The sequence below is a fragment of the Homo sapiens genome, chromosome 7 (genome assembly GCF_000001405.40).
Source record: "Homo sapiens chromosome 7, GRCh38.p14 Primary Assembly".
Classification (NCBI taxonomy): domain Eukaryota; kingdom Metazoa; phylum Chordata; class Mammalia; order Primates; family Hominidae; genus Homo; species Homo sapiens.
The window spans coordinates 97,025,128-97,044,023 of NC_000007.14; the positions used below are offsets into that span (position 1 = coordinate 97,025,128).

The 18,896-nt window shown below is 42.2% G+C and overlaps 2 annotated features.

The window, feature by feature from the left end:
- Positions 853-1,368: an enhancer, noted in NCBI's record as "H3K4me1 hESC enhancer chr7:96655292-96655807 (GRCh37/hg19 assembly coordinates)". NCBI's record gives its function as "activates a minimal SCP1, AML or CMV promoter by ChIP-STARR-seq in primed H9 embryonic stem cells {active_cell/tissue: H9 hESC(primed)}" and the evidence as "EXISTENCE:reporter gene assay evidence [ECO:0000049][PMID:30033119]".
- Positions 2,447-2,646: an enhancer, noted in NCBI's record as "active region_26299". NCBI's record gives its function as "activates an Ori minimal core promoter by ATAC-STARR-seq in GM12878 lymphoblastoid cells {active_cell/tissue: GM12878}" and the evidence as "EXISTENCE:reporter gene assay evidence [ECO:0000049][PMID:35858748]".

The following is an 18,896-nucleotide window of genomic DNA, read 5'->3' on the forward strand; positions in this document are numbered from 1 at the left end:
ACAAGGCTCTGTGATGTCTGGGGACAATGTGTTCCAATCAGAAGCCTCAAAAGTGCACATGTTTTGGGAATGAGGTGGGCGACCATCTTTCCTTGCTTCCCACTACCCCGCCCCCGTGGGCTGCACCAAAGGCGAGTGTAGAATTAAACACTGATACTGAAATAGGGAGTCAAGGTGCAGGGAGTGGGGAGCGGGGGGATGTAGGATGGAGGCAAGAAGGAAGGGAAACAGCATTTTTTTTTTTTTTAGTGGAGTGTTGGGAAGCAAGTTGTAACTTACATGTTTTGAAAATTTGCTCTTTGGGGAAAGAGGCAACTTCCTTTGCAGGAGATGAGTATCTCCCGGACGCGGGCTGGACAGGAATGCCCAAGAAGGCACAATGTCCATTAAGCCGGTGAATGGCAGGGAGAGTTCCTGCAGCCCAAAGTCCTTATAATGACTTTTAAAAATTACTGTCTTAAACACATATAACTTAAGGAAGCCCAAATCCTCGTTGCTGGCTTGCAAAAAGAGCCAAACAGCTCCACTTCTGTTTAATATTTTCATCTATTTTCAAGACATTGGAATAAAGGCTCTTTAACTATGTTCAGTGGCCAAAGACTCCCGCAAAGGTGAATGGATCCATGTATAACCTGCCATACCTCCAGGAAAGAATGGGAAAGTCTCGGAAGTGGGGAAGGAGACAAGGATCAAAGCCTTTGCAAAGTCAGATGATGCTCATTGATTTCCCCCTCCTGGCTCCATGAATGTGGCCCAGTCTCTCCATTTCCCAGACCCGGGTTTCTGTACCCTCTCCCCTTTATTTCCTGCTGCAAAGACATCCTACTTAGCTCGTATGCAAGGGAAGAAAGGATTCAAGAATCATTCAGTTGATACACGAGATCTAAACTTTGCTCTTCAGGAGGTGCTATCCTTGTTCTAGTCGTGATTCAGCTGGGAGTTTAGAAATTCAGCATAAAAGTCTCTCCCAATCCCCATTGTTACTCCCCTCAAATAGGCAACTCCGCGGACTAGATCCTGATTTGGGGCCTTCCTACATCTTCCTTTACGGGGTCCAAGACCGGCAATCTGGGAGTTCCACAGGCTATCTAGGGTTATCTGGCCTCCCCTCCGTTTTCCCTCCTACCGAAGAAGAAAGCGTCTGTGTTAGTTGTGTCTAGTATTAGTTTAGCCTTACTTGGAGTGTGGAGCCACTCGGCCTAAAACAGGCCGACGGGTAGAGGTAGGGTGTCTGGAACTCAGAGCAAGATACAGCCCCGCTCAGGAACTCCAAAGCAGAGCTGCCGTGCGTGCACCAACTCCCTGCCTTTGCGGTCTGGACTGCACCAGAAAAACACAGCTATTGTCGCACTTCCTTTCGGGGGAAACTTCAGCACCGGGAGACTGGCGCCCAGCAGCATTCTCCTTCTCCCACTGGCCCGAGTCACGAGCTTTGGGCCTGGGCTGCCGCGGGCTTCTCTGAGATAGACTTCGGGGTAAACAGAGCTGCAGCTGCCAGCCAGCCCTGACTTGACGCTGTCGATTACCGACAGGCTGTTAACCGTCTAGATGTAGGCTGTGAGGAGCTAAAGAACAGGAGGGAAACATGGGTCTGCGGTCCTGGGCTCTGCTCTGGAGAAGTTATCGGCGCCCATCGAGTCACCTGATACACACTGCCATTTAATTACAGAAATCGCTTCCTCAGATCAATGCCAAGGACAGTTCAAAGCACCTCCCGGCAAAGACAAGTGGGCAGGGAGCCAGGCCTCCCTTCCTCTGGTCCCCTATCTTCGACACTTTTGGTTAAATAGAGATTTGAGTTACCACATGGTTATACTGAACAGGGTGTTCCTAGCAATGCCCTTACACCTTGCTGAGATGGCAGATTCTAACCAGGATGGGATTGGAAGCTGCAGAATTGGGGCAAAATTTAGAAGTTCGGGATCCGATTGAAAATAATGTTACAATGTCAAATTAGTTCTAGACCTTGCTAAATTTCACCCCCCCAAAACCCCGCAGTCAAAATGGACATTCTTTCCCACATTTCATAAAAGACAAAAAGGAGTGGGCCGGGAGGGAAGAATTTAACTTCTTTGTTTCGGTTCCTAAAGCGTTAGAACGTTGGCCCTCACGCAGACTTGAGCCATTCTGCTGCTGGGTGAGACCAAATCTGGATGTGTCTCTACAGGTCCAGAGCCTCAACTTTCTTGATTTTGTTCCTCTTTTCAAGGTTGACCCCACTCCCCACTCCACCCCTTCCTTAAAGGCAGCCGGGAGGGAGAGGAAGCACTAAGTTAAAAGCAGCGGAGAGTCTGTTCACAGTACAGTTTTATTTAATTTCACAATATAGGCATTGTAGCTCTGTGCACTGCCGGCTGCTCTGCGGGCCTGTCTGCGGCTTCGGACCCACGCTCAGGACATACACCGGCCAGTATCCCGGCTCTCGGAGCAGCAAACTTTTGCTGGTGTTGTGAGGGAGTTCTCACACTAGGGCCTCCAGCTTTGTCCTAAGGCCAGCGGGCTGGACGCTATTGCCTCTCAAAATCCACCGACAAATCCAGCCGTGGAGAAACAGCCCCACGGCATCAAACTCTTCCAGCAGTGCGCTTCCCGCTGAGACACGTAGGAAGAATGTAAGTAATTTCATCTTTTAGTAGCTGAAATCTGCAAAGGGAGGGAAGGGGAAGTAGCGGGAGGGAAGCCCTAAGATAAGTGCAAGTCTTTACCACGAGCGCCACCCAGTGTCCTCGAGCAACATTGCGCAAATGGCAAACCCCAAGCTCAGTCACTGGCCAGACACCAACTGGTCCTTAGTGTTAGAGTTCACTTCCAGGTGGCTTTCTTTCTCTGTACTTCCAATACATCTTTCTCTCAATTCCCATGCCCTTTCCTTTCCTTCTTGTACATTCATACTTTTCCTTCCTCCTCCCACCGGCTCACCTTTTTCTGGGTCACCTTTTTCTTGGTGCCCCCTGTCCTATCCCTCAATTCTTAGGTGTAAGGCGCTCCTTCAGTGTCCCCACCTGGGGTGACTGGAAGGCATCAAGGATGACTCTCCTTTCCTAGCCTTTTATTATTATTATTATTATTATTATTATCATTATTATTATTATTATTATTTGGACAGAGTCTTGCTTTGTTGCTCAGGCTGGAGTGCAGTGGCATGATCTTGGCTCACTGCAACCTCTGCCTCCTGGGTTCAAGCGATTCTCTTGCCTCAGCCTCCTGAGTAGCTGGGATTACAGGCATCTGCCACCACGCCCGGCTAATTTTTGTACTTTTAGTAGAGGCAGGGTTTCGCCATGTTGGTCAGGCTGGTCTCGAACTCCTGACCTCAAGGAATCCACACAACTTGGCCTCCCAGAGGGCTAGCATTACAGATGTGAGCCACCGCCCCCGGCCGCCTTTCCTAGACATTTGTGAAGAAGCAGGCCCTCCTTTAGTTAGATGAGGTGCTTGGGAAGCTTTCGGTCATTCACTACTATGGGCTGAAAAGAGTGCCACTGAGTGTGCAGGGAGAGAGCCGCAGAAGGGGGTGGGGTAGCAGAAAATCTTAATAACAGCATTTACTCAACTTTCTCCATGTAGCCTATCTGGAGATCTGTTTACTCATAGAAGTGCCAACAGTAGAACACCTTTTCTTTTGGGCTTGAAACTCAGAAAATTCAGTGCAGTTGAAAATATTTAATTTACGAACTTAAGATATTTTTAATATGGAAACTTTCATTTATATAAAACATTGTACACATCAATTGGATGTGCATAATTCAGGTAAATAAAGGACCCCTTAATATGATGCTAGCATTGTATAGGCATACTTGGTATAAAAAGCACTTTGACTTTATCAGTAGAATACTCATTCTTTAAAAGTCCAGTTTTGGGGGTGAGGTTTATTTTTCTTTTTATTTGCACTGCTTTATCCATTATCTTTTTTTATCTGTCCAGTGAAAAATGCTCTGAGCAATTCACTCTTATCATGATCCATTTAGAGTACTTTTCATCCCAGAAATCTCAAACACAACAAAACTGGTTAAGTCAAACATTTTGTGGAGGTAGACCTGAGTAATCATTTTATTACAATGGAGCTGCAGTTATCTTTGAGCTGGGGCACTAAGGCCGTTTAATAACTTAAGGTAACAGCTCTGAAATATTCAATTTGATATTTGTATAGAAAAAGCACATTTCTTGGAACTAGGGTGGGATGAAAAGATAGGAGTTATGATTGCAAAAGTAGCAAAGGCTTTCAAAAATAGCACAAGTTGTTGGTCACTGGTTTTGGCAATGCAACTGAATGGCCTTTGTCTCCCAATAGAGGGCTAGGCACACTGACTTGGATCTAGCATTCAGAGGTGGTTCATCTGAGTTAGGAAAACTATTTAATTCCCCATGTAGGTTCAAACTTCTTCCCATGTGTTTATGAGGCTGAACTAACTAGGCCCAAGCTAAAATGTTTAGGAGCCCATTTAAATCAACAGTGAGCTTATCTAGGGAGAGAGAAGAGGGAAAGTGGGTGTGAAGGGTAACAGGATAAATAGAAAAAAGGTTTCCTCCCATGCTGAAATTAATTATAATATCCCCTTGCCCTCAAGAAAAATGTGTTTGGAGTTAAAGAGCATCCCCAACAAAGTAAATCTCAAAGGATTCACTAGTAGGCAATTATATAAATATTCTGAATAAATTAAAAATCCCCAGAGGGAAAAACTATTTTCCACTTAATTCCAACCTAATAAGATTTTTGGTTTATTTCCAAATGATAGGGCAGATCATAGACTTCTACACGTTTTGTTTTTATAATTAAGACATTAAAATATGTTTATTCATTTAACTTAAACATAACTAGCTAGGAAAACGCCTTAAGTATCCACTCAAATCTATTCTCTATGAGACAAATTTAATATACCACAGCTGAAAACACTTCAAGTTCATCTAACTAGGAAGTAAATGGGATTATATTATTATATGTCTTTGCAAACTGAAATTGAGGCATATTCTTCATCCTAAATTCGGATTTCATCTTCTTGAAAGGAAGGTTTGGCTGTGGTACTATTTACAAAACCTTTATTCTTCTTAAAGATATACAAATATTCCAAATTCTAAAAATACCCCTTGTGGAGTTAAAAGAAAAGTAATTGACAGACAGGAATTCAGAGCAATGATCCACCTCTTGCAAGGAAATAGCAAGAGTGAAGCTTCAGTCATCTTTAATAACATCCTAATTCCAAGATCTATTTAGAATTTTAAAGTTCATTGATCCTAAGCCACTGTATTTTATGATCTGACAATATTGTATGCAGAGATGCAGAAAACCAATTCTGAAGCCAAAGCCAGATTATTCAAACACTGTGAGCTGCGTAAAACTTGGCCCACAACGTACATGCACAAGGGCAGATGGTATAATTTTATAGGCATTTTTACCATCTGCCCTAATTATATCATTTTAATAGATTAAAACAAACAGAAAGAAAATACAAAACCTTTCTCTACAGCTGTGTTTACTACCTTTACCTTTTATAAAGAAAAAAATTCTTAAACAGGCAACCCCAGCCTGAGATAAGAGGTTTCCCTGCTGTGTTACACAGCACAATCAGTCGAAGCTGCAGTGCCCACCTGGACTTGCATCCCTCTGTGCTCCTGCAGAATAAAATTAAGGCAACAGAAAGGAAAAGTCAATAGCTTTCCAAGTGAAGTGTAGCTGACAGCAATGGAGTCACTTTTAAAAATTGTGGGCAGAAAAGATACGTTATTTGCAGCAAGAAGCTTAGTAATACTCAATGTATATAGCCCATGGGCAGTTAAGCAAAATTTTACTTTTTCAACATTAAGTCTTCAGTTTTATTTTATTTTACTGTTTCAACATAGCAGGCTCTTGGATGGTACATGTAGCAAAGTATAATAAACATATACCTTAGTATAATTTATTGCTGCATCCTGATTTATAATTTTGGGCATATAACTGCATGTGTCCAGTAGTTTGTGTGCATTCCCCTGTTGATGCATGCGTTTCAGTTGGTTACTTAGCGAATCAAGGAACACTGTAGTTGTTGCTCCAACTTTTGGACAGACCTCACTTTGCAGACAACCTACTATGCGTCTGCATGCACCACTATTAGTCTAAAATGAGGTTTAGGGATGTCTGGAATTTTTCTTACAAGTTCCAGGAATCCTTGGAGTTAGAGAAGGAAAAGATACTTATGACACTCGGGATGTTAGCAAGGTATATACCAGCATTGCATTAAATAATTTCTTAGAATAAAAAAAGCAAAATTGGAAATCAACAAATCAGATAAACAAAAACTATAGGCAAGAAAAACTGTCTTCATACATGAAAAAATTCAGAATGTACCATTATTCCCTACAGTTCTCTGTTGCCTTCTTTGTTATTTGAGTCTCTAGCTGCTTCATGGGTACACTGTTACAGCCTTTTTACACATGCCATTCAAGAGATTCAGACACATTTAGGGTTATGTTATAGAGTAACTGTGCTAGGTTGCTAGCAGTTAACCTGCATAGCAAACTTGGAGAGGATAGGAAGAATGTTTTAGCATCAGGATAAATAGATGAACCAAAGAGGATATCATATTTGCTAAAGTGATAATACTTTTAATGGAATTATTCCTGAAGCCTGTTAATTTGGCACAAAAATAGGGCGGAAAGTATCTAATAATTAAAATTGCCTGGTAAGTCTTCCTAACTTATAAGAATAATGGAAGAGATTAGAAGAGAAATAGGCCAAAGAACAGAAAGCAAAATGATAGAAATAGATCTACTTTGCACTCTGAATTAAAATAATCACTGGGGAACATTCAGGAAAAAGTACTTGTCCACCCGAGGACTGTCTTTTAGGGAACACTTCTCAGAGAAGTTGGAATGAAAGTCACTTCTTTGTGACTCCCTTTTACTAGGGTCATTAAAATTCAACATGGCCTTAAAAATCACAGTTTAGGAAAAATGTTCTGTAAATGTTTCGAGTACGTTATTGGGCTCCATTCCTCTTCAGAGTCTTATGGCGAGTATTTGGCATGTCTTGCAAATTTTATAGACCTTTAAATGGTTTTTCCCAAAGGGATTTCACATATAATTCACTTATACTTTCACAGTGCCTTGAGAAGCAGCTATGTCTGCCTGTTTTGGGTGGTCCTCAACTTTTATATATTTGCCTTTCATTTAACTTGAACTTGCTCATATTCCATATTGGCATTCCTACCTCACCCTTTATTGGTGGGTTTGAGTGGTGATGTGGTGGCACTGCCTGCCAGCTACTGCTGTTGGGAGTAAAGTGCCTGCCTGGCCTTTGAACAGTGCCAAGTTTGTATTCCCTCTGTCTCACACTATGCCTAGGAATATCTGGGCATGGAATTTCCAGCTCAATGCAGGGCTGCCATCTCCCCCTCTCTTGCCTAATCCCTCCCATCACCATCCTTGCAATTGTCACTTTCTCCATGGGCATGGAGGCTAACCACTGGGCTTGCCTAGCCTCCTGCTCCAGTCCCTGCAGATCAGCGTGCTCCTGAAAATGAGAGATGCCTGGCTCAGTGCTCCCATGTCTATGAAAGACAAATGGCCACCTCATCTGCTCTCCAGGGATTGGGCCAGAGGAGATAACACTGATAAAACTTGCAATTAGGAATTTTATATTTGGTTAGCGCTTTGATAATGGATATCCACTTTCAAATACATTTGTTTTGAATGAAAGGTATTCCTTGAATACCTAATTGACAGATTAATTTACTGAGGCCCAAATAATCCACTTTTATAATAATAATTCCTTGCATTTGCTTAGAGTTTTAAACTTTTTTTTAATTCCAGAAAGTTCTCGTATAATTGATTGTTTACTCTCACAATATTCTTGAGAGGCAAGTAAGGCAGGAAGAAACCTGATTTCCCAACTTTCTATTTGACATACACTATGTAAATTGTGTTGTTACCTAAGAGTAGTTAAAATTTCCCATGGTCAAAATGCTCTCTGTATGCACATACAAAAAGAGTTGGTCATGGACTGAAGTAAACTTATTACTGTTTTAATATTAAACAACAATAACAACAACAACAATTCAGGCCAGGCGAGGTGGGGCATGCCTGTAATCATAGCACTTTGGAAGGCCAAAGTGGGAAGATCACTTGAGCTCAAGAGTTTGAGACCAGCCTGGGCAATGTAGTGACACCTCTACAAAAAATTTAAAAATTACCCAAACATGGTGACATGTACCTGTGGTCCCAGCTACTTGGGAGGCTGAGGTGGGAAGTTCACTTGAGCCCAGGAGGTTGAGGCTGCAGTGAGCCATGATCATGCCACTGCACTCCAGCCTGGGTGACAAAGTGAGACCCTGTCTCAAAAAAAACAAAAAAAAATCTCAAAACCAATGATAGGCATTTACTGTATGCTAAATGCTTTGTGCGTATTATTTCATTTAATCTTTACAGCAGCCTGTAAGGAGGTGCCATTATTATCCATTTTATATAGATGAATGTGAGGCAGACAGATTAAGAAAGAAATTTAAGGCCAGGCACGGTGGCTCATGCCTGTAATCCCAACACTTTGGGAGGCTGAGGCGGGAAAATCACAAAGTCAGGAGATCGAGACCATCCTAGCTAACACGGTGAAACCCCGTCTCTACTAAAAATACAAAAATAAAAATAAAAATAAAAAAATTAGCCGGGCATGGTGGTGGGCGCCTGTAGTCCCAGCTACTTGGGAGGCTGAGTCAGGAGACTGGCGTAAACCCGGGAGGCAGAGGTTGCAGTTAGCCAAGATCGCACCACTGCACTCCAGCCTGGGCGACAGAGCAAGACTCCGTCTCTAAAAAAAAAAAGAAAGAAAGAAAAGAAAAAAAAAAGAAATTTAACTATTATCCTGTGGCTAATAAGTTTATTGCATAGGAGTTCTCTAAAAACCAGAAATCCTATACCCTGTGGAAAACAAAAGCATAGAATTGAGGCTTTAAATACCAGAATAACGTTTCTGTTGCTACTCTCCTTTTTTTGTGTGTTCTTAGACCTAAAGACACATACAATAAGCTGTGGCTGTTTTAGTTGTAGTTGTTTGGTTTTGTTTTGAGAGGTGACAGCGTGCTGGCAGCCCTTGCAGCCATCGCTTGCTCTCGGTGCCTCCTCGGCCTTGGTGCCCATTCTGGCCGCGCTTGAGGAGCCCTTCAGCCCGCTGCTGCACCGTGGGAGCCCTTCTCTGGGCTGGCCGAGGCTGGAGCCGGCTCCCTCGGCTTGTGGGGAGGTGTGGAGGGAGAGGCACGGGTGGGAACCGGGGCTGTGCGCGGGGCTTGCAGGCCAGCTAGAGTTCCAGGTGGGCCTGGGCTCGGCGGTCCCGCACTCGGAGCGGTTGGGGGGTCCTGCTGGCCCACGGCAGTGCGGGGCTTAGCACCCAGGCCAGCAGCTGTGGAGGGTGCGCTTGGTCCTCCAGCAGTGCTGGCCCACCAGCACTGCGCTGGATTTCTCACCGGGCCTTAGCTGCCTCCCCACAGGGCAGGGCTCGGGACCTGCAGCCCGCCATGCCTGATTCTCCCCCCCCGCCCCGGGACCCTGGGGTCCTGCATGGCCTGAGCCTCCCCAATGAGCGCAGCCCCCTGCTCCACGGAGCCAGGTCCCATAGACTGCCCAAGGGCTGAGGAGTGCGGGCACACCACACAGGACTGGTGGGCAGCTCCATCTGCGGCCCCAGTGAGAGATCCACTGGGTGAGGCCAGCTGGGCTCCTGAGTCTAGTGGGGACTTGGAGAACCTTTGTGTCTAGCTAAGGGATTGTGAGTGCACCAATTGGCACTCTGTGTCTGTCTCAAGTTTTGTGAACACACCAATCAGCACCCTGTGTCTAGCTCAGGGTTTGTGGATGCACCAATCAGCACTCTGTATCTAGCTAATCTGGTGGGGACTTGGAGAATCTTTATGTCTAGCTAAGGGATTGTGAATACATCAATCAGCACTCTGTATCTAGCTCATGGTTTGTAAACACACCAATCAGCACCCTGTGTCTAGCTCGGGGTTTGTGGATGCACCAATCAGCACTCTGTATCTAGCTAATCTGGTGGGGACTTGGAGAATCTTTATGTCTAGCTAAGGGATTGTGAATGCACCAATCAGCACTCTGTGTCTAGCTCAAGGTTTGTAAATGCACCAATCAGCGCTCTGTGTCTAGCTAATCTGGTGGGGACCTGGAGAATCTTTATGTCTAGCTAAGGGATTGTGAATGCACCAATCAGCACTCTGTATCTAGCTCAAGGTTTGTAAAGGCACCAGTCAGCACTCTGTGTCTAGCTCAGGCTTTGTAAATACACCAATTGACACACTGTATCTAGCTAATCTAGTGGGGGTGGAGAACTTTTGTGTCTAGCTCAGGGATTGTAAACGCACCAATCAGCACCCTGTCAAAATAGACGAATCAACTCTCTGTAAAACAGACCAATTGGCTCTCTGTAAAGTGGACCAATCAGCAGGATGTGGGTGGGGCCAGATAAGAGAATAAAAGCAGGCTGCCTGAGCCAACAGTGACAGCCGGCTGGGGTCTCTTTCCACATTGGGAAGCTATGTTCTTCACCCTTTGCAATAAATCTTGCTGCTGCTCACTCTTTGGGTCCACACTGCCTTTCTGAGCTTTAACACTGACCACGAAGGTCTGCAGCTTCATTCCTGAGCCGGCGAGACCACGAACCCACCAGAAGGAAAAAACTCCAAACACATGTGAACGTCAGAAGGAACAAACTCCGGACACGCTGCCTTTAAGAACTGTAACACTCACCATGGGGGTCAGCGGCTTCATTCTTGAAGTCAGTGAGACCAATAACCCAATTCTGGACACTGCGTGTGTGTGTGTGTGTGTGTGTGTGTGTGTGTGTGTTTGCGTTTTTTTTTTTGTTTTTTTTTTGTTTTTGAGGTGGAGTCTCACTCTGTCACCCAGGCTGCAGTGCAGTGGCACGATCTCAGTTGACTGCAACCTCTGCCTACCGGGTTCATGTCATTCTCCCACCTCAGCCTCCGGAGTAGCTGGGACTACAGGTGCCAGCCACTACGCCCAGCTAATTTTGTTTTTGTATGTTTAGTAGAGACAGGGTTTCACCGTGTTAGTCAGGATGGTCTGTATCTCCTGACCTCGTGATCCGCTTGCCTTGGCCTCCCAAAGTGCTGGGATTACAGGCTTGAGCCACCATGCCCGGCAATGATAGTTTGTTTATATCAACAGTTTCGTTTCCCTTTAATCAGTTTCACTTTTCTTTAGAATCCAATTGTTGGGTATTAGTATCCACATCTGAGGAAATTGAATGGAAATATACTGTAAATCTGAGGTAGGGCGTTTTTTAGTGTTGGAACAAGGAAAATTCAGGGAAAAGTTTCTCTTAATAGCTGTTTTATAACTGATGTTAAATGTCGATGAGCAATTGGTCCCTGGAAACAACTGATGACAAACACACATAAAACTAAGCAGCAGATCTTGTCCCACCGTTTGCCCCCATTCTTTATTTTCTCTTGTTTTTCACATACGTGTCTCACACATCTATCTACAGACTATTCTGGCAAAATGTTCACACTGTTTCTTTAACAAAGTTACGTATAGAATGACCATATAACTTATCCAAACTGAGACTTTTTTGTTTTTTTGGAGACGGGGTTTTGCTCTTGTTGCCCAGGCTGGAGTACAATGGCAGGATCTCGGCTCCCTGCAACTTCTGCCTCCTCAGTTCAAGTGATTCTTCTGCCTCAGCCTCCCGAGTAGCTGGGATTACACGCATGCGCCACCACACCTGGCTAATTTTGTAGTTTTAGTAGAGACGGGGTTTCTCCATGTTGGTCAGGCTGATCTCAAACTCCCGACCGCAGGTGATCCGACCGCCTCGGCCCCCCAAGTGCTGGGATTACAGGCATGAGCCACCGCACCTGGCCCAAACTGGGACATTTTTGAAAGTGAAAAGGGGTTGATAATTACTGGGACAATAGGAGTAAATTGGAATAGTCCTGGCTAAACCTTGATTTTGTGGCATATTTCTCATACACTCCAAAGTCCTTCGGGAGGCCATCTTGGAAAGTCCTGTCCAGTAGCCTGGCATCATGGAAACTTGCCTGGTTAGCAAAGCTTAGGTTTTTTTTAGTTGCCTTGGGGTTGACTTACATAGCCTATCCTCAGTAGGTTAGGGATGGTCCGGACCACCACCTGTACATATGCAGGTTGTGCAATACATGAGTGTGCAATGGTGAAGGGGAGTGGGAGGTGGAATCCAGCCCACACTATACTTGCCCAGCCAAATACCCAAGTGAGGGACTGCATCTGCACTGAGAAAGGAGCATCTATTTCCCACTCACACAAAAGTTCCCCAGGGAATGGTAGACTCTCTGAGTACAACAAAGTTCACTTCCTTATCTAACATTTTCCTAATTGTTCACTCTATATCCTTTACTTCATTTTGATTATTATCTTTTTAATAGTTTTGGCAGAAATTGTGCCTCTATATTTTTTAAAACACTTAATCTGAATGCCTCACATAATAGAAAACTTTAGAGAATTGAAACCTGAGGCTTCCAAATGCACAAAAGTATAAGTATACTAAAAGATTTTTTTCTTTTCTTTTCTTTTCTTTTTTTTGAGACAGAGTTCTGCCATGTTGCCCAGGCTGGTCTGGAATTCCTGGGGCTCAAAGGGTCCACCTGCCTCGGCCTCCCAAAATGTTGGATTACAGGTGTGAGCCACTGTGCCTGATCTGTTTCCTTTTCATCTCAGAACTTCCTAAGGTTTTTCGAAATCTTGTATATAGAGAAGATAAATGCTTCTGCCTACAGTGACCATGCATTAACGCACTGTATTTCTTTTCTTACATGAGGTGTGCCATGTATAACAAAGATTTCCCTTACTGCCTAGGTTTCCTCAAAGAGTGAAACTTTGAGGACTATTATTTTTCACAAAACTTTTTAAACGTACTCCTGCCCTTGCAAGAGAAATGACTATCTGGTACAATTAACGTTGGACCATAGACCCAAAGAACAGTGAATATTTCAAACACAAATTGCTTTTGAGAATCATAGTCCTATTCTGGGCTTGAAGACATTCATGTAGGAAATTAACAGAAAATTTTAATAAAGACTCTTTGGATAAAGAAAATTAGATGAGGAATGCCAGTTTGTCTTTTAAGTTGCTTGAGCAGATCTGTCATAACAGACATTGCCCCAGATTGTGGAACCCTTTCCTTCTTACATCTTTTAATGGTAGTAGAACTTACAATACCATAATTTCCTTTCATTTTTGACAGTGTTATACTATCTTTTTAGATTTACACTGACAGCATTTCATCTTGACATCATTAGATCATCTCACCTGACTTTTGCATGGTGCACATCATTACATTATGATGGTGCTATACAATTACCAGTGAAATGAATAGGGTATTAACATGATTACTGAAAAAACGTTAGCACATACAGATATAGCATTCTGTAATTGAAAGCATATTATAGCTATTAATTGGTCTGCCCAACACTCCTGGGATCCAGTGAAACTTCCTTTTTTTTTTTTTTTTTTTTTTTTTTTTTTACCAAGTTGGATAATGAAAGGGAGTGACTTAGACAATATTACAGAACTAGGCAGTGGCTGAACTTTTCTTAACTTCCTTGATGTTTTTAAGCCTAAGAAAGTTGGGTGTGAAGATTTATAGTAACTAATCACTGTCTTGAAAGGGCAGACAAGTGAGAAAATTCCACAAGAATACCACTTTTTCTAGTTTCCATTTCAGGACTATCATGGCAATTATTGAGAATCAATTCTTCTAGGTTTTGTGAGAGTTTTGGGAGACAAGTAATCTGGAATTATTTAAAGTGTCCACCTTAAATGGAATTGATTTGGTCTGAGAAAAATCACATAACTTTTAAAAGTTAATCATTAATCAGGAAATGTTGTGATCAAAGGTTGATACAGAAACAACTTTAGAACTATAGAAATCTTGATTATTGAAAAGCCTCTATACTTTCTTCGTATATTTTTCTAAAATATTGATAATGCCTTACCAATGACATCCTAGACTTGAGAGACTCAGTGTTGTCTTTGAGGAGAGGATGAACTGACTCCTTTTTCTAAATCATATAATTCATCCTGAGTTCCAATTTTAAGGTGACTAAATAAATTAATTGTATGAATTAGTTAAAATTTTGCAAACTTTTTGAGCTTCACTTTGTTTTCTCATTTCTTCTCATTTGTATGAAGTGAATATGTATCATAAAGATTATCATGAGGGTAAAATGAGATAACAGATATAAAACTCTCAGCTTAATGCTTGGGCACAGTAGACACTCAATAAAGTGGAGCAGTTCCTATAATTCAGGAGACCTTGACTGGTCTGGGAACTAGAGCAGAAACTTTGGCGGCTTGAAAGTGGTAGTTCTTAGGGGACATTTCTTCACTCTTGGCCCTTCTTCTGCTACGTTTACACTGCCTGGAGAAGTCACAGGGATCATGATTTTCCTTGAATGTTTTCTGCCATGACTCAGCAGTAAAACAGCAGTATCAGTGGATGGAGCTGGTAGATGGATCAGAATCAGCTTATCTGACTTTAACTAATATTGTTTTATCGAATTTTCCCCCACCCACCTGCAAAAGGAAGAAACCAAATGAGAGGAATACAAATTTTCACTGTAATTGAATCAAATCATAACACCTGGAATTACGCATATGTCTATCTTGATTGGCCTATTTACAGCCATATATATTTTGTGGCAAACTAGTGTGTTTAAGAAATGGGCTTTTGAGGTCAGGAATATTGCATCATTTATATTTTAAGCACAATTTTCAGTCTTTCCTTAGACCTTGGAATTTACTCTTTTCTCTTCACTCCCAGCCTGACTACCACTCAGTTCATCTCATCCCCCATATTGCAATAGCCTCCAACTGGTCTTTGCACCTTCAGGCTCTCCAAGCTCCACTCCAGTCACCTATCACAATGATCGCTATTCCCTATAGGTCAAGTCTAAACTTCACATCGTGGCACAAAAGTCTTCCAGAATCTGCTCCAACCCTAACAATCTAGTATATCTCCATCTTTTTTAGCTTCCAAATCCATCTCATTTCTTCAGCCAAGTTGATTTTCTCCCTGTTGCCTGATCATATCGAACACTTTTCCAGGTCTACCTCGTTGACTGTTCATTCTCTTACCTATCTCTGCGTTCAGTGTCGAAAACAGAAGTCATTCTAAATGTTTTAGGCAGCAAGGAATTGAATGCCAGGGACTGGGTGCTTACAAAGTGTCAGAAGGGTTGGAGGAAGGGTCTAAGCTGGGCCTCTAATGACAACTCCTGGAGCACCAGGAAGGGTGCTACCAGAAAGACTGAATTCAGAACCCACTGCTGTAGCAATAACCCCAGGATCAGAAGCTGCTGCCATTACTGCTGCTATAATTGCCTCCCAACGAAAGGAGCTGGGGGAAAACGAAAAACAAAAAAACACTGGAATGTGATTGGGGAGAAAACACAAAAATTTATATTTCCATACCCTGTCACTATCAATAAAAGCAAAAAGGTGTGTGAAAATGGCCTCTCACTTCTGTTTTCTACATGGGATACAAAGCCATTTACTCTGCACTGCAAAATCCTAGTTGCAAAGAAGTCTTGGTGTACATGAAGGCAACTAGAAGTGAGGTGGATGAACATTAAGAGAGACTTCTTCCTTCCCCTCTGTTACCAAAATCTTGTATATCCATTTCAAGGATCAGTTCAAATATTGTATCCTCCAGGAAACAGCAAGCAATGTCAATGGTAGATCTTTATGCTTCCTAATCACCCTTAACCCACATTGCAGAGATGGTCAATATGCAGTTTACTTAGCCATACCCTGCCTTCCTACACCTCTAGTGGTCATCCCACTTGAATTTCAAGATTAAAGCACAAGATTTACTCAGCCTGGAATTGGCCTCAGAATCCTTCTTACCACAATACTCAAGTCAGCCTTAATCAACTGATGGGAGATGATGCTTCAGATAAGCCCTGTTTGCAAGCCCTGAAGTCTATTATTCAGGCATCTAGACAGCTTTTGATTAAATATATTAGATAGCAATTCTGACTTGATCGTTCCCTAACCTCAAAGCATGATGGTCTGAAATAAGGATACTGGTGGATTTGTGTGTTGCAGGGGGCGGGAAGTAAATAGTCCTGAATCATAGATTTTAGATCTGGAAATGGCTTCAAGAAATACCTTGGTACAGCTCTTTGTCTGTAGGCAGGAAAGCTTTTATATCTGAGTTTAAAAATGAATAAACTGAGGGCCAGAGAAATTAAGTAACTTTCTGAGTTTACACAGATATATTTTGTTATCTGATAACAGCATATTACACTTCAAGATGGAATTACTAATGAATCTACTTCTCTCATCTTTTGTGCTTCTTTATTATTGATAATTCATCACAGTCTATAAAATACAAATTTAGTAACTGAGTTTTTCTCCTTTTCATTATCTTCGTTTCTACCAGGAAATAATCACAAATGGCAACAAAACAAAACAAAAAAATACCTAGCATAAGAGTACAGGTTGTAGAATACTGTTTATTACCATGTTCAACCTTGAGAAAAATTGCAAAATAGGTGAAATTTATCTAAATTGACTTCTGTCTTTAAGTATGTCTTTTTTCCTTCCTGTAGGTTCCTAAGACTTTTATGAATATTTAAGGTTTCCCACAGGCTCTTTATCCCTGGAGAACTGTCTTATACCTAGAGCTTTTTCATTTACATATTTTCTATTCATCAGGGCACTCATCACCTTTATGAGCTACTAACCTAAAACTGATGAAGTAACAAGAGTTTTGTGTACCTTTGCCTTGCCATAATCTATATCTTACTGACTTCTCCTGATAAAAAATTGCCACCAACTTAGTGCCATAAAATAACACAATTTATTATCTTACAGTTCTGTAGGTCACAAGTCTGGTGTGGGCCTCACCAGCCCAAAATCAAGGTGCTGGCAGGCTGTGCTCCTTCTGGAGGCTTTAAGGGGGAATTATTTCCTGCTTGTGGGGTTGTTGAAAAATTTGATTCCTTGTAGTTGTAGAGCTGAGGTCCTGGTTTTCTTGCTGTCTGTCAGCTGAATGCTGATCCCAGGTTCTACAAGCTGCTATGTTCCCTAGCTCATGGTTCGCTTCCTCCACCTTTAAAGTCTGCAATGGTGAATGGAGACCTTCTCACATCACAGTTCTCTGAGCTACTCTTCTCCTTTTAAGGGCTCATATGATGAGATTAATCCAACTCAAATAATTCAGGATAATCATCTCACCTCCAGGTTGTAACCTTACTTATTCACATCTGCACAGTCCCTTTTGCCATATTTGCTAACTTTATTTACAGAACTAGGACATTGACACCTTTGGGAGGCCGTATTCTGCCTACCACACCTGGCTTCCATAGCATAATCACATCTTGATCCAGTTTCCCTCTTTATTTATTGCCTTCCTTCCTTCTTTCCTTTTATCCTTCTTAACACACGATTGAGCATCTACTATAATGATAAGTACTTACATAAGTGTGATGAATACAAAGATGACAACAGCATGACCCCTTTGTCATCTTTGTTACTCAAGTTACTGTCTGGTTGCTCTTCTCTTACTCTTCTGATTGCTTCTTTTTTGTGTAATATCTTTCTTCTACCCCAAGGCAGAATTTGGAATCTGTCACATGGAGCCTGTCAGTGTCCTATCCTGAATAACTCATTTAGTGCTAAGATTGCCTGCATATGAATCTATTTATACACATATCTCAGATTCTACTTCTCTTTTTCAGACCTCTCTCCTGAATTCCACTTATACACCTTCAGGTGGACATTTAAATTTACTCCATAATCACCTCCAACTCAGTTAGGATGGAACTTATCATTATGCTTCAGACTTTCTTCTTTCTTTAAGAAGCTCAAAAATTCTCCTAGTCACAAAGGTAGAAAACTTTTCAATGAGTCTTAACTGCCCCTTCGTCTTATTTTTGTAACAGGGATGCTATTTGGGGGAGGGGGGTATTAAACTTATATATTTATCTTTGGTAATACCTAATTACTAGTTGTCCCACAGCTCTCATATCCAGAGCCAAGTAGGGTCAACTTCTGTCATAGAGTTTTCGCCATAGAACAAGAAAGATTTACCTTCTGCCTCTGATGGGGAGGCTGTGGAAATCTGCCCTAGAGTAGAAGAGAGATAAGACGTGGCAGACTTCAAGTTGAGACAAAGGTCAAAGGAAGATGCAATTCATTCTGGGAGTATGAGGAAGAGAAGGAGCAAATCAGTAGCAGGAAGGCAAGTGGTCAGATTCTCCTTTGCACTAACGTTCTGGAGTGAAATTAGGAACAAGGGGGAAACTACAAACAGAGTGTTTTGCCCTTGAGTCAGAGCTGGCTAGAAGCTCACCAAACTTGCTTTTTCCTGAAAGACACCCAGACTACATTTCTTAGATTCTCTTGCAGTCAGTTGGCAGCCACATGACTAAGTTCCAGCCAATAGAATGTGGCAAAACTGATGGACTCATTACTTTCATCTGGGTCATTAAAACCCTCTGTGTGATCCTCCTGAATCTTTCCAAGCCAATGGAAAACCCTCAGGTCCTCCGGCAAGGGCTCTTCACCTTTTTGAATCATTATGGATCCTTGCAGCAGTCCGGTGGAGCCTATGAACTCTTTTTAGAACAGTGTTTTTAAATGTATGAAATAAAAGCCAAAAGATTACAATTAAAACAGATTATTTTGAAACACAGTTAACAAAGTATCTTAAAATGCAAATCTGTGATACGGTAATGTGTGTTCTTCTTTATTAATGCATTAAATTACAAGATCTAGTGGCAAGTATAATAACTACCATGTTTCCAACATGCTGATGATATAAAGAGATAGCCTTGATACCTGAAGTGTGAAAAAAAATCTGTGATTTATTTCAATGACAAAGTTGCAGGCTTAGCAGACATCTTTCAGTTAAC